The sequence below is a fragment of the Homo sapiens genome, chromosome 11 (assembly GCF_000001405.40).
Source record: "Homo sapiens chromosome 11, GRCh38.p14 Primary Assembly".
NCBI lineage: Eukaryota > Metazoa > Chordata > Mammalia > Primates > Hominidae > Homo > Homo sapiens.
In genome coordinates, this window is record NC_000011.10 from 79,460,156 (window position 1) to 79,475,510 (window position 15,355).

At 41.2% G+C, this 15,355-nt stretch overlaps 2 annotated features.

Annotated features, from left to right (window-relative positions):
• Positions 11,636-12,202: an enhancer, noted in NCBI's record as "H3K27ac-H3K4me1 hESC enhancer chr11:79182835-79183401 (GRCh37/hg19 assembly coordinates)". NCBI's record gives its function as "activates a minimal SCP1, AML or CMV promoter by ChIP-STARR-seq in primed H9 embryonic stem cells {active_cell/tissue: H9 hESC(primed)}" and the evidence as "EXISTENCE:reporter gene assay evidence [ECO:0000049][PMID:30033119]".
• Positions 13,448-14,031: an enhancer, noted in NCBI's record as "H3K27ac hESC enhancer chr11:79184647-79185230 (GRCh37/hg19 assembly coordinates)". NCBI's record gives its function as "activates a minimal SCP1, AML or CMV promoter by ChIP-STARR-seq in naive H9 embryonic stem cells {active_cell/tissue: H9 hESC(naive)}" and the evidence as "EXISTENCE:reporter gene assay evidence [ECO:0000049][PMID:30033119]".

Below are 15,355 nucleotides of genomic sequence, written 5' to 3' on the forward strand. Positions count from 1 at the left end.
ACTGTTATACTTGCCTTTAAAGAAAATAACATTCAGCATTGCCAGTAGCTGCTTATTCAATATTAGTCTTCCCTGCAGTTCCACAAACTTCAGGAGGGCAGATGCCTGTCTTATTGACTACTGTGTGTCTAATGCCTAGCACATGCTTAATAAATAAATTTTGAGACACATGAACAAATCTAGTCAAGGTAGAACAGTAGGATAACGATGAATCTAACATTATCTGCCATGGACAAGGGTTAATGCTCAGCTTTATTTGATACCCATATTAGCATTTTAAAATTCTAATTTCACACTGCTCTTTACTAGACATGACCATGGTATTCCTAAAAGGCTTTAAAAGCATAATATTGTAAAAACTCCCATTACTATATGTATCAATAACATTTTGTATATGTATCTGTAGTAATTATCCTACGCACAGAATTCTAAGCAGAATGCTATACTTAACCCATGGTAGCCATTAATTAGATAAAATGAAATGACGTTCCGTTGCTTGCAGCACATTTTAAAGTGAAACCCCACGTGTGACAATAAATGAATTTTCTTTTTATCTCCTGTAGAAGAAAACCAATGGCTAATGTAGAAACCTCCCAAACATGCTTTCCTAGTGAAGCTAGCAGAGCTATCTAAAGAAAAGAACTATTTTGACTTTGCTAGTTAGATCAATAAATATGTCTAAGGCTGGGGTAAAAGGGGAAAAAATGGAATCTATTTGCCAGAAGGTAGAGCTGGAGGAAGTTTGGCGATTTGATTATTTCCTCTTAAGATGTCTTTGGAAGTATCAAATTGAGAACAGCATCTATTTAGAAGGCTTGTCACAGATTTTGTTAAGTGCAGGGGCGGGGCTTAGTAAATTTTTCCTAACAATAAATATTTTTATTAGAAAATTATTGCAGTAGAATGATTCAGATGTTTAAGACAGGTATTTGAATTTTCCCTAAAATAATTTCCCAAGACTGGGCCACGGAGAATTGTTTACCTACAACCAAGCAAAATAATGCATGATTATAATTCCTAACTCTCTAGAGTAAGCCAGAGTACTGAAATCCAAGAGTAGTGTTCATTTTTGCCTCCAGTGGGCACTGTGCTCATAAATGAAGGCAGCCAGTTCTGGCACCTACTCTGTGTTGGGCTTCTTCTGGCAACAGTTGAACTTTCAAGTTGTTAGATGCATTCATGAACGAAGAAAAGAGGAGAGTTTTGTGTTAACCTGACCTGAGTTCCACTTCTGTCTGTACTACTCAGTAGCTGTATGTCTGGGCAAATCATGAGGCTGGCATGGAACAGTATTCCCTCCCCTCTCTGATTACATTTCCAAATCTGAGCGTGGAAAAGAAATGAAGAAACAGCCATTGAGAGATAAAACAAGTAATAACTTGCCTAATCCTGAATTGGAGAGATTTACAGTTGGAAACAACATATTACCTGGCCCTGCCCTGAGTTCTGAGACAATATGTAACATAACAATCATCATATGTATATGTATATGTGTGTGTGTGTATATATATATATTTGTGGTGTATTTACAACATACCAATGACTGTGCTAAGGAATGAGGATCCATGTAGAGCAAATGTAGACATGGTCCCTTTGGAGTGGTTCACAGTTAGCAGATTCTTCCATATGCATATCTCAGCAATGTGAAATAGGAGTTGTTGGTGACCCAATATTACAGATGACAAAACAGAAGCCAAGAGCCAGAAAATCTGAATGTAACACAAGGAATTGGAATCAAGAGTGACTCTCAGAAAGTCTGGCTCTAAAGCTAGCTCTCTGCACTGCACTTGTGGACTCTCCGCTTTATATCAACAACAGCATAGATATCTGTTTAATGTTGGACAGGTGGCAAAGTGCTTTTTGCTGACTCAATTTCATTTAACTCTGTGATGTAGATATTTTTACTATTATCTCCACAATTCATTGATAAAATTGAGACCCAGAGGGATGTGGTGGCTGGTCCAAGATCACTCAATTAGCTAGATTCAGAGAGCAGGGACTAGATTCCAGTGTTTCTGATGCCAAACTGTCCGCCATACGTGGACTCCCAGTTTAAATATTTCTAAATTCAGAATCATTGAGCCTTATTTTCATGGTCGAGGATTATTTCCATGATCTATGTAAATTATAATTAAATCCATGCTAATAGGCCATTTTGTGGCAAAACCTCAATAAGCAGTGAGCCGAGGCCTGCAGGCTTGCAAAATTATTTATGGTGAACTCCGAGGGCTGCTATTACTCAATCTATATGTGCTGCAACAAAGTGTTTACTCCTCTATGAAAGCTGGCTACTCAACTACATTTTTCTTCATTCCCCTTCAGCAAAATTGGGGAACCCAGCCTCTAGCATATGGAAGCATTTCTATGCTGCTAGATTTTCTGATGAGGGTGGGATAGGGATGGTGGAAGTATGAATTGAAACGATGTGTTGGAAGAAATATATATTTCTGAGTGAGGTTGATTGGACTAGATTCCATGTGGCAAAAGTTGTCTCCAGAAAAGACGTTTTTTCTTCCACTTTACCCCCACTTCACCATTTGTTAAAATCAGTGATTTCTGAATCTGCTTGACACTTGTGAGAACACAAAATCCAGAAGATCCAGGCTTTTTTTTTTTTTTTTTTTTTTTTTTTTTTCCTGTAATGCTGGCGCTTTCTGGTGGGCTCAGGTTTCTGCAAATTGCTCCCAAATGGTCACAGACAAGGAGCTGAGGACTTCCTTCAGGTGTTCGTGACCACACTAAAGATTTTTTAAAGTAAATTAAATTACTAAATGTGTAAACACTGTGTGAATAGATGGCACCTTTAAACTTAGTATGCCTAACATGTTAACTTTATGAGTAAACCTATACATAATACATTATTCTATTCTCAGACGAACAAAGGGCTTCTCCAGCTGCCAAGGGCGTGGAAACAATGTGACATATATCTTTAGTGTTCTAAGAAATACCCATTTTTTTCCTCCTTCAAATGATACTTTTCCCTTTATTTAGACTCAAATTTGTTTATGGCGCTGGTCTACTGCATCAGGTAAAGATCTGTCAACCACATAGGAGCTTTCTCTACCTCATTTGCTATTTAGAAATGCACAGAAACATAAAAAAACTAGATGCTTTTGCATGACTTGGAAGGACTCATGGATAATTTGAAACCAGAGTATTTGATGTGTGCCAAGGACCCTAGCCCCTGCTTTGTCGTTTTAACAATGCCTTAAGTGTACATGCGTTTGCAGCTCTCTTCTCAAGGATCTCTCACAGACATCCTCTCATTTGTTCCTCCCAGCATCCCTGGATGTCTGCCTTCAGGGATTTTTATTATCCCTGTTTTCAAATGGCAAAACTCAGGATCCGAGAGAACATGTAACTTCTTGTAGGTTACACAGAGTGAACGGGTGGAGTTCAGGTCTCGGCTCTTCACAGCCTCCCCACCCACTTGCTGCAGGCATATGGGTATCAAGGGTGCTCTTCCCAGGATTGGAGTGAGGAGCACTGGGAGTCCGGGGACAGAGACTTCCTGGGCACCCTGGCTCCTGCATTAATAGAGTAAGGGGGCTGACCTGGGTACCATCCCTATGGCTTCCTTCTTTGACACTCTGAAGGTCTTGTACTTTCAAAGATCTAAACCTTGAGGCAGTGACTCAAAAGGTCTTGGATTTGGGTTTTTAAATTTATGTACTGCCTCTCACAGGTGTCACATAATTCAAATTCATAAATACTTAAGGGTAATAATACTATTTCTTAAAGTGCTCAAAAGGGGGTGGAGGGATTGAAGTTTTACTTGGGTCTGACATCACCATTGAGATATTCACATTTATATGTTTCTCCCCAATAACTGAACTCCCAATGGCAAAGCTGATGGATTTGGTGCCATTGTACTCCCTTCCTGCTACCATCTCCACACCCTCCTTTTTCTGTCTCAGGAACTAGCACAGTGCCTGGTGCCTAGCTAGCTACTCAATAAAGAGATGCAGTTTAGCTTTGCCATTATTTTATTCTTATTTAATTCTACCTAATATATAAAGCCACAGAGATTTTTAAACATAAGTTTAAAGAAGTGATAATAAATGCCTCCCAAAATAAAGTAACTCTTTATAGCAACTTACTGAATCAGTATTATCACATGTGCAAGCTATACTCAGATAATATGCAGGTCAATTAAAAACAGGGCTACCTTCTAAGAAGGTTTGAAGAGTTTCCAATGTGAAAGGCACTGAATACTGTGTATGAAGGCATGCCTGATTTTCTGGGACACTTCTTTTTTTCCTGTAATTTTACTTTTTTCAATTATTTTATTAAATGTACAACTGGATATAATTCTACCTTTAAACCATTGTTAGATTTTCATATAAGTTCATCAATTTGAAGCAAACAAATCCTTTTTCAGGCCAAAATCAGGTCTCTTGATTTTTATCTTGGAGAAATTAAGTCCCTGTAGTTTGGTGGCACATGAGAACCCTCTTGGGTGGACTGGCAAACACGATCCTCTGCTTTTTTAACCTAGGACTCACAAGACACTCTCAAATCAATTAGTTTTCAAAGCACCCATGCATTGAGAGTACGCTGTATGTGAGGCATTGTACTGTTCGGAGTAACCACGAAGGCTGACTCTGATTGTCTCCATTTTATAGGAAAGGAAACTAAGGCTCAAAGCCACATGGCTAGGAGCTGGCAGAGCAAAGTGTTAGACTCTGGTCCGTAGAGCTCCAAAGCCCATATTCTTTCTACCACCTCCCTCTAATCTACTGGTCTGGGACTCTGATCTCTTCCTCTATGCAGAATTCACTGTTGACAGAGCTCCGAGCTAAAAACCATTGCCTCAAAATGACAGAGGAAAATCGAGTTGTCAGATGTGACCCAGAGCAAAGCTCTAATTCAGAATCATTTAATTTCATATCTGCCACCTGAGACCACAGCCACATTTCTCCTTTCTCACTGAAGGAGAACACACAGACATATTTTCTCAGACTTACTTTTTAGGACCTGCTTCTGTGGAGGCCCTGCTGCCATGGGACTTCCCAGTCACTAACATTTAGAATTACACTTGCTACATGATGGTTGAAACCCCCATGCCTACTTACTTAAAAAAAATTCCTGTTCTGGATTTTTAGCAGATCCCAGCTTGCTACTCTGTCCTGTGGCTGTATCTCCAGACCCACTGGGCACCATGGAAAGCCAATGCTCAGTTTCTTCTAATGACGCAAGAGGTAGAAAGAGCCTCTTGAAGCCCTAGTTACCTGACAAAATTCACAGAATTTTGTCCCTTGCCACAGATCACACCCTATTTTAATATTACAAACAAACAAACTCAAAAATGCTGAAAGTGAGTTTCTGATCTCTGAATAAGGAGGTACTTCTAAGGATGATAAGTGGAAGAAAACGTAATGAAAGATACTAATAGATTGACTATGTAAGGCTTAAATTTCTGTGTACCAAAACATTCATTAAAAAATAAAAGGCAAATAACACTGAGAAAATATTTTTTAATAGAGTGGCAAAGACCTAGTATCTTTCATAAAGATTGATCTTTTATGAAATGATGAAAAAATTAGTAGGAAAATGGACAAAGGGCATAAACAGAAAATTCATAAAAGAGTAAAGACAAACAGCTAATAAACATGAAAGAGTTTTATCTCACTAATAATCAAAGAAATGAAAATTAAAACAATATTAAAGAACTAGTTTTCGTATATCAATATGTCAAAGGTGAAAAAGAAAAATAATTCCTAATGTTTGTAATGTGAGAAATGTTTTTTCAGTTTGATATACACAAATTCACCTCTCATTACTGTTCAACTTTGCATTTCTTTGACTATAAAAAGTTTTTAAAATATTGATGTTCCTTGACTTATTGATTCCAATTCTAGTAATCTATGCTAAGGAAATAATCAAAGACAGAAACATTAATTATATATGTTTATCACAGCATTATTTACATTAACAAAAGTTGGAATGGTAGAGAACTGAAATGTCCAGGAAAAAGAATTGGTTCACTAAATAATGGTACATGTATTACTATGCATGCATAAAAATTGTTGTAAAAAATAGTTGTAATGACATTAGAAAACATGACATATGTATACATACATAGGCACACACACGTATATACAATATAATCTTAGCTGCTTAAAATGTCTCCTATAAACATACCCACAAAAGGGAAGGAAGTTCATAAGTGTGCAACAGTGATTATTTCTTGGTGGAGGAAATATGGTATTGTGGGTGTTTTATTTTCTTCTTTCCATTTAACTTCAATGTTTTCTATAATGAACGTGCATTGCCTTAATAATCAGAAAAGAATTCCAACAAATGTTATTAATAAATAAGAAAAAAAATATCTGGGCAGCTTGTGTTGAAGGCCCACCAAGAAAGTCTAAACACAGACTCCTTCCCTGAACAACTCTGCACACAGAGTCCATCACATAGTTTAGCTGCTGAGTCAGAGTCTGGGGATATGAACCTCCTAGAATTAAGCCTGAATGCAGAGCTAAAGTTAAGCTAAGCCAATCAGAGCGTGCCTGGTTATTGCCAGCATACCATGAAAGTAGTAAACTGTAAAATGCATTTTGAATACTTGCTTAAAAGTCAGGTATGATGCACATGAGACATTTGCTACCACAAAAGTGAAATGTTAGTTACTATTTGGATGAGTAGAAACATGCTGTTCTAAAAAAGCACCTTTACTTTATATAACAATTCTTTTAAAAATATGAAAATATTTTTCTTAAATATAATGTCTGTATATCATGGAAAATTTAGAAAATATGGAAAAGTAGAGATAAGAAAATGATAGTTCTACCAGGTAAAGATAACCACAATTCAAATTTTATAGTATTTCTACCCTTAGAATGGTATTTTTATTTATTTGTTTTTGGTCCTATTTCCTCCTCATAATTGAGATCATAACATATTTTGCTTCTAAAGAAATAACTTTTTTTTTTTTTTGAAACAGTCTCACTCTGCTGCTCAGACTGAAGTGCAGTGGCATGATCTCGGCTCACAGCAACCTCTGCCTCCCAGGTTCAAGTGATTCTCTTGCCCCAGCCTCCTGAGTGGCTGGTATTACAGGCATACACCACCATGCCTGGCTAATTTTTGTATTTTTAGTAGAGACGCGGTCTCACCATGATGGCCAGGCTGGTCTCGAACTCCTGGCTTCAAGTGATCCATCCACCTCAGCCTACCAAAGTGCTGGGATTACAGGTGTGAGCCACCACACCCAGCTAAGAAATAACCTAAACTGTTGTTCCTTAATGTTTTTGCATTGGAGGAAAAATCAACATAATATAAGGGATTTGTAATTCACTGAGTGAGTGAGTGAGTGAGTGAGTGGGGTTGGGGGAAGCACACAATACTGTCTCCTTGCACATGAAGGAAGAAGCGACTCCTACTAGAGGTTCACAGAGAAATCCACAGGACAGAATTGATGAGCAAATACTATTGCAAGTGCATTTGAAAATAATGTACCAGGCAGAGGTATTTTTATCACCTAACTTTGATAAGTATATTTTAAAATATTTTAGAACATCTTATACTCTCTTTTTGGAAACTTTGGCTTAATCTGTATGCACACGAACTCATATCCTTGGGCTTTGAAATGAGGCATAGAATCTAACCATTAGTTTGAGGCTCTGAAGGCATCTTATTGGATCTATTTCAACACTAATAGAAATGAGAACGAGGCCAATCATGGCCTGTATTTTTAAAGGATTTGTGGTTCTCATTTGTATTATCAAACACTTTGTGAGACTTCTTTGGGCCTGAAATTGCCATACTTCACAGTCACAGCCAGCTGTGTCCTGTCAGCCAGAGACAGTTCACCCCCAAATCTCGCTGCTCTCTGGCAAGGAGATTCTGTTGCTGAAATGAGCAGTAACATTTGGGGATAGTATTTGCAAAACAATTTAAAGCCTTGAGAAATTTGTAATACTTGAGTAAAATCTAGATAATATTTTCAGTTATCTCCACCCATCACTTTAGAAAACAATGAGTGAATGAGTAAATGAAAGAAGACAGGCACTGAGAAACTTCCTTGTGGAGAAAACAGAGCCCAAGTCTCAAGGAAGTTATGTTAAAAACGGCGTTAGGTTTTGTTTATACTTTGATCTGTATTTTCTAAATCAGGAATTTCAAATAATGTCAGCATAACAACTGGCACCATTTATCTAGTGCCTCAAGCACTGTGTGAAAGCTCTTTTGTAGCTATTACAACAAGTAACTCTTCAATAGTTCTTGGTCATTATTCCCCTGTTTCACAGATGATGAAACTGATGCATAGTGGAAAAGATAAAAGTGGAATGCCAGTGTTTGTTTGTTTGTTTGTTTGTTTTTCTGGGTTTTTTGCTGTGACTATCTTTTTAATGTAGTCCTTGATTGGATCTACTCTGCAGTTACAAAGGGATCATTTTGGTCTTTGATAATAATTAGTTGGAATTTATTATTTACTTTTGTGACCGTTCCTGTAAGTCTCAGCAGTAGGACACTGTTAAAATCTGTTGTGTTCCTCAGGACCAGAAACAAAATACCACATGTTCTCAGTTACCACAAGCTGGAGCTAAACATTGAGTCCGCATGGTCACAAAGAAGGGAACAACAGACACTGGGTCCTACTTGAGGGTGGAGGGAGGGAGGGAGGAGGGAGAGGATCGAAAAACTACTTATCGGGCACTATGCTTATTACCTGGGTGGTGAAAGCCCCACGACACACAATTTACCTATGGAACAAACCTGCGCATGTACCACTAAACCGAAAATAAAAGTTAAAAAAAAAAATGAGTACTTAACAGAAAGTAGTTTTCTTTACCCCCTTTTGTAACATCAACAGCTAGCATGTATCTGTGGTGGAGGCCCTGTGTTCACTATTTGGCATGTACTACTGTGTATTATATTCTCACCACAACTCTACTGATGGAAGAAAGACCAATCAACCAACACATTAACCAAAAACTTATTTTTCAAATGAGGAATCGGAAGCATAGGAAGGCTAAGTGACCTGCCTACAACATACACCTAGTAAGCGACAAACAAAGTTTGCCTCCCTCTCAGTCTAGGCCCCATCTTTATCCACTGAGCTGTGATCTCCACTAGTCAATAAGAATCCCTCATCATAAAATCACAGAATTTAGAGGAATAAGGTCTTAAGAAGCTCCTTATAAGAAAGTACATGGAGGCCAGGCACAGTGGCTCACGCCTGTAATCCCGGCACTTTGGGAGGCTGAAGTGGGTGGATCACTTGGGGTCAGGAGTTCGAGACCATCCTGGCCAACATGGTGAAACCCCGTCTCTACTAAAAATACAAAAATTAGCCAGGTGTGGTGGCAGGCTTCTGTAATCTCAGCTACTCTGGAGGCTGAGGCAGGGAAACTGCTTGAATCCAGGAAGGGGAGGTTGCAGTGAGCCGAGATCGTGCCACTGCACTCCAGCCTGGGCGACAGAGCAAGACCCAGTGAAAAGAAAGTACATGGACAAAGGGATGCAAAGCCCAGAGAAGCCAAAGATTTGCCTTGGGTTACACAGTGAAGGAATGGCAGTGAAGACTGTAGGCTTCCAATTCAGTGTCTTAAAAGTAATCACATTATCAATTGGTAAAGATTTATAGTCACAGGTGAGTTTTGTTGGTAGCTTCTTGACCGTCAATTTTTCATCTTCTAAGAGCTCTGTGTAGATTGCTCAGCATCTTACTCTTACTAATTCCTTCATGTCAAAGACCCCCAGCAAGGGTGCAGTGTCAAGTGCTTTCCAAAGGGACAGAGGCCCTGGCTGTTCTACACTCTCCTTTCATATCCTTGTCCAAGGCCCAGGGATAGACAGAACCACAGGTCCATTTAGTAGCACCAAACACCCCACTTCTACTAATGACAGGCATCTCTTGAACCACTGAGCCAAGGTGGGGCTTCCATTTTCTCCCATTTCTCCTCCCCTGCAGCATGCTTTTATGAATTCCCAGCTCCTGCAGGGATCACCCCACCTGTGACAGGGGCTCAGTACTTAGAATCCCTGGGTTGGAGCACAAGAAAAGGAAAACCAGAAATAGGTCTAGACTTCAGAGTGCTCTGTTTAGCACAGTCCTGAGCATTGCTGTTAATAATGAAGGTCTAACATCCACATTTGCAACTTTGCATGGCTCCAGAAGTCCCTTCACACCCACCCCAGGCATTTCCCCAAGTGACAGAGAACAGCAATGAACCACAGCTTGGGCTTTCTGTTCGGCCCCTTGGCTGGGCTTCAGGAAGTCTGTCTCCTTTAGTGCTTGCTAGAATTGGCTAGAGAACAGTCCTTGACTCGAATAACTGAAAAATATACTTAACACCACATTGATTTTCCATATAATTTTATAAGCACAAACATTCTCTTTCATTTCCTGACAAACAACTATATTCCCCAAAGTGTCCAATAAAAATCAGTAATTTACACATCACTGTTTTTGTCGGTGGCTGTTGTTTGGAGTTAGTCACCAAGACCAACGTCTTTCTCCTGATGCCTTTATCCCTCTGCACCCCCTTCCCCAAACAAATCCCAAAGTTGAACTCGGGAATAAGGGTGGATAGCTATGTAGACCTTCCTGGTGCTGTGTTCAAAGCCCTTTTTGAAAAAAAAATACATAATTTTTAAGCAATTCTTCATGGAAAAAGGAAACCAAGGGTGGAGAAGAAACATGCTACACTAAACACAGCACTGTCTCCACAATTCTGAGATAGTGCATAGGCTGCACAGGTCCCCTCCCCTCCAGCTCATCCCCAGCTGTGAGCAGGGACAAATCCTTCTGGTGCAAGTGGAAAGCTGGGATGATTGATTCAATGGCTGACAAACGTCTCAGGCCAAAAAGGCACCCCAACGTCCAGTGGCAAGTGTCACTCTAAGGTTGCATCATAAGACAAGCAATGACAAGGGTGAAAATTGAAAATGGTAAGTTGTCATTCCTAGGAATCTTCATGTTGCTCCTTCTCCCCCTAGCAGCAGGAACACAGCATAGTGTGTTCATTTTTATGTGTCATTCCTAACTTCCAGGACAGCCTTTCCTCCCAACCAACCTCTCCTCTCTTTGAAACAGCGACCTATGCTGAATGTGGCAGCAAAGAAACAAAGAGGAAGGTGTGGATGCTCACCCAGAAGTCTTGTCTCCTCGCAGTCCCTTAGAAGCTCAATCCTCAGGAGACAGTGCACTGGGGGTTGCCAAGGGGACCTGAAATACCGGTTTGCCACAATCCTGACCAAATCGGCTCCCAGGGCTGAGAAGGGAGAAGGTGTCAGTCCATTCAAAACCCATCGTGGCTGATTTTGAAGTGGAAAAAGAAAAAAAGAAGCAAAGAAAAGCATTGCTCAGCAATGGGCAGGAAGAAGAGTTAAGAGGCTGAGCTCTTCGGCAAGAAATGCCATAGCTCTTTCAACTTGGACAGAGCCAGGACCACAGGCTGGTTGTGTCAGAAACTGTGTGTTCTTGCTTAGTGCTTAGGTTTTGTTGTTTTTCCTCCCTCTTTCCCTGAGCCCTGGCACTGGGGAGCATGGAATGGCTCAACCTGTTGTAATCAAACATGTGGGTTGCTGCTTGTTGCAAAGATATTGCAGCAGCCTCTTCATTAAAGGAGGCTGTTCTTAGATGCTAAGAATTAATTTCCTTGTCTGTGGTTGCCTGCTTGTGCTCTGGCCTTGTTGTGGAGTGGGGCGCTGGGTGGGAATATAGAGAGTAGGACAAAGGGAACACTGGGTAGAGTAGGACTCCCTGTGCCTGGAGGCTCCCTGGAGGAATGACCCATAATTCTCACTTGCTGGAGCCAGTGGGCTCCTGACAACCACCTCCATGTCTGGTTCTTAGGAGATGTGGCAGATACTACAGGGAACTCCAGCACATGCAGTCTATGCACAGTTGGGCCCTAATCTTTAATCCCACCCCAGACCTCTAGCACCAACTTGAATACTGTCTCCTGGAATCTCAGTCGGCCCTCTGAATCCTGTGCTTAGCGGGTGGTGTCATCTGGGAAAATAGAGAGGGCTTTCATTCACCCATTTGTTGGCTCATTCACTCAGCTATTCCTTCATTGCTGCATGTGTGCATTCATCAGTCCATTCATGTGTTTATTCATTCATTCCTCCTTGCATGAGTGTATTTACCTATTAATTTATCCATTCACTCTCATGTGTACATTTGCCCACTTAATATTACTCATTCATATATGTATTTATTGATTCATTAATTTACACATTCATTTACATTATTATTCATTGACATATTCATTCATTTGCCTATTACTACACCCATGCAATCCATGCACTTGATTAACGTGCATGCACTCATTTTTGCCTATGTGAGAAAAACTTATTTACTTTTTCTTACAAGTGCTTGTTCCTCCATCCATCCATCCATCCATTTATCCCCATATCCAGTCAACCACTTCTAACTTCGTTTATTCATAGATATGTTGTCTGTTAGCTTATATGTTCATTTATTTATGCACTCATTTATTTAACTCTTCATCGGTTCATGTTCCACACACATCCTAAGTGCCTACGACGTGCTTGGCACTGTGGGGGAAAGAAAATAAAGAATCAGGCACCCCTCCTGTCCTGAACAAGTCAAAGACAGAAGACCTGTCTGTCCTCAAGGAATCTAATGAAAGAACATGATGGATGCCCTAAGAGAGGGGCAGAGGAATGTCAGGTGGGAGATTGTAGGGAGAGCTGAGGTCCCAGGCTGCAGCTGGGAACATTGGAAAGAACACTGGGCTTGGCTTCAGTCTCACTGACATGGCCTCAAAGCTCGCTCTGCCACTTGGCGCTGGTTAATTAACCTTTCTGAATCTCAGTCTCCTCCAATGATGTAGGCCACACTGGGGGGTTGGGAAGACTAAGTTAGGTCACCGACATGAGATTAACAAAGGCGGCGTGGGGCTCTGTAATGTTCAGTTTTTTCCTCCTCCTCCTCTACATTTATTTTCTAAACTTTGTCAGCAAGTCTGCCTTTACTTACTCTGGGGGTAGAGCAGGGAAGAAGGGGTGAAGCCCAGGGGTGAATCTTCCTCGGCTCACAGGGAGCTAGTTGGAGGGGCTGAGGAAGCAGAAGTTAATCTCTGAGAGGTTTCCAGACCCTCCGCAGGGCCCCCTGAGAAAGGCTGAGGGAAGCTGTCAGTCTTTCAAATGTAAAACCTGCCAAGTGAATTGGTCAAAGGAATCTATTAACATAGGATTTGCACAAACCCTCGTCATTGGGTGAAAGTGGATGAAGGATTTTATCAAGAACAGAAGGAGATCAGGGCCCAGGTGCCACTTTGGGGATGGGATGAAAGGAGGGGGTCTGACTGGTGGGAGTGTACACCTCTCTGAAGTCCTGTGGTTCCAGGGGGAAAGGGAAGGGAGCCTCCATTTCTTGAGCCACCCACTCTATTGTCCAGACCTTGTGTGGATGCTGGGTGTACATTATCTCACTTGTTTCTTACAGTGGCCACATGAGCCCGGTATTATTATAAATGAGGAAACTAAAAGGTTCAGCAGTTTGCTCAAGGTCACATAATTAATAAGAAGCAGAAGCAGAATTTAAATGCAGGCCTGTCTGATTCCAAAATCTCTGCTTTGATCCACGATAACACGCTTCCTCATGAAGGTTGTCCACACTCTGTAGTCTTTTCTAAAAGCTTATGTAAATAGGCTATGAACGGTCATTGTCCAAAGATTTTTTTACTGTCTTTACTAACTGAATCCTAAAATGTAAACAAAAGTAGGCCAGATCTTCAAGGGAACAAATGAGAATTTTTATTTTAGAGTCATATACAATATATGTGTACAGTATATATTGTTTTCATTTTATTTTAAAATATTTTTAGCAGTTGGGACATAAAAATATGACATGAAACACAAACAGCTTCATGGTTTCCCATTATGCTTCAAGGCAGGGGGCCTGGGGCTGTGGCTGTCTTGGCAGGACTGGCTTCATAGCCCAGGCTTGCAGTGAGAAATTAAGAATGTGACAGGTTCAGAGCTGCTATTCCAGATATGTGAGTACAAGTGTGGTGGGGATATGGGGCAATGAGAGTCCTAGGCCCAAATCACAGAAGGCCAGTGTTACAGGCTGAACTGTGACCCCTCCAAATTCATGTGTTGAATCCCTAACCTCCAGTATCTCAGAATGTGATTGTATTTGGAAATAGAGCCTTGAAAGGGGCAATTAAGGTAAAATGAGGCCCTCAGAATGGGCTCTAATCCAATCTTACTGGTGGCCTTATAAGAGGAGATTAGGACACACAGTGGGACACCAGGGGTGGGCGTGCGCAGAGGCAGGACCATGCAAAGAGGCAGCAAGAGGTCAGTCATCTTCTAGCCAAGGAGAGAAGCCTCAGCCAAAACCAACCTAGCTTGTACCTTGATCTTGGACTGCTGGCCTCCAGAAGTGAGAAAATACATTTCTGTTGTTTGAGCCACTCAGTCTATGGCATTTTGTTATGGCAGCCCTAGCAAACTAATCCAGCCAGGGAGCATCTGTGGTGGCCAGAGGAACTTGGGGGGATTAGAAACAGTGGCTTTTCATACTCAACAGGGAGGCACTTCAGTATTTTAACAATGACTACAACCATTTGGGGGCATACTGCTGCATTGGCTCTGAGCAAGTGTGGCCTAAATAAAGGGGAAGGGCTGTAGATGGGGTGACCCTGTTCAGAAGAGACATTCCCAAGTAAGTGGAGAGGCAGTGTGGCAGTGTGAGAGAGACAGGTGGAGGAGATGTGAGCATAAACTACCCCAGAAGATCCCCTGGGACCCAGAATCAGGTGGAAGGAAGTATGGAGACTTCTAAGACACAATCTAATGAAGACAGGGAGAATGGGAGAGAAGATAATAGCAGCATTTGAGCAGGTGACAGTAGACTGTAGAAAGCCCAGTTCTGAGTCAGTGGTGGGGAAAGCCAATAATCATCCTAATTTCTACTGCCAAGCCTGCAAATGGCTCAGGAATTAGCAGCTTCAGGTTTATCTGGAACTGAGGGGAGGAGAGGAGTCAGATCTCTAGAACCCTCCCTTGCTTCACATTTCTGGGAGATTGGTCCTTCCCCACCTGGGGAAAGCTGGAGATTTATTGTCTGGAGAGGGTAAGTATATTAGTCTGTTCTTACACTGATAATAAAGACATACCTGAGACTGGGTTATTTATTTATTTATTTATTTTGAGATGGAGTCTCACTCAGTCGCCCAGGCTGGGGTGAAGTGGTGCGATCTTGGCTCATTGCAACCTCTGCCTCCCGGGTTCACAACATTCTCCTGCCTCAGCCTCCCGAGTAGCTGGGACTACAGGTGCCCACCACTATGCCTGGCTAATTTTTTTGTATTTTTAGTAGAGATGGGGTTTCACCATGTTAGCCAGGATGGTCTTGATCTCCTGA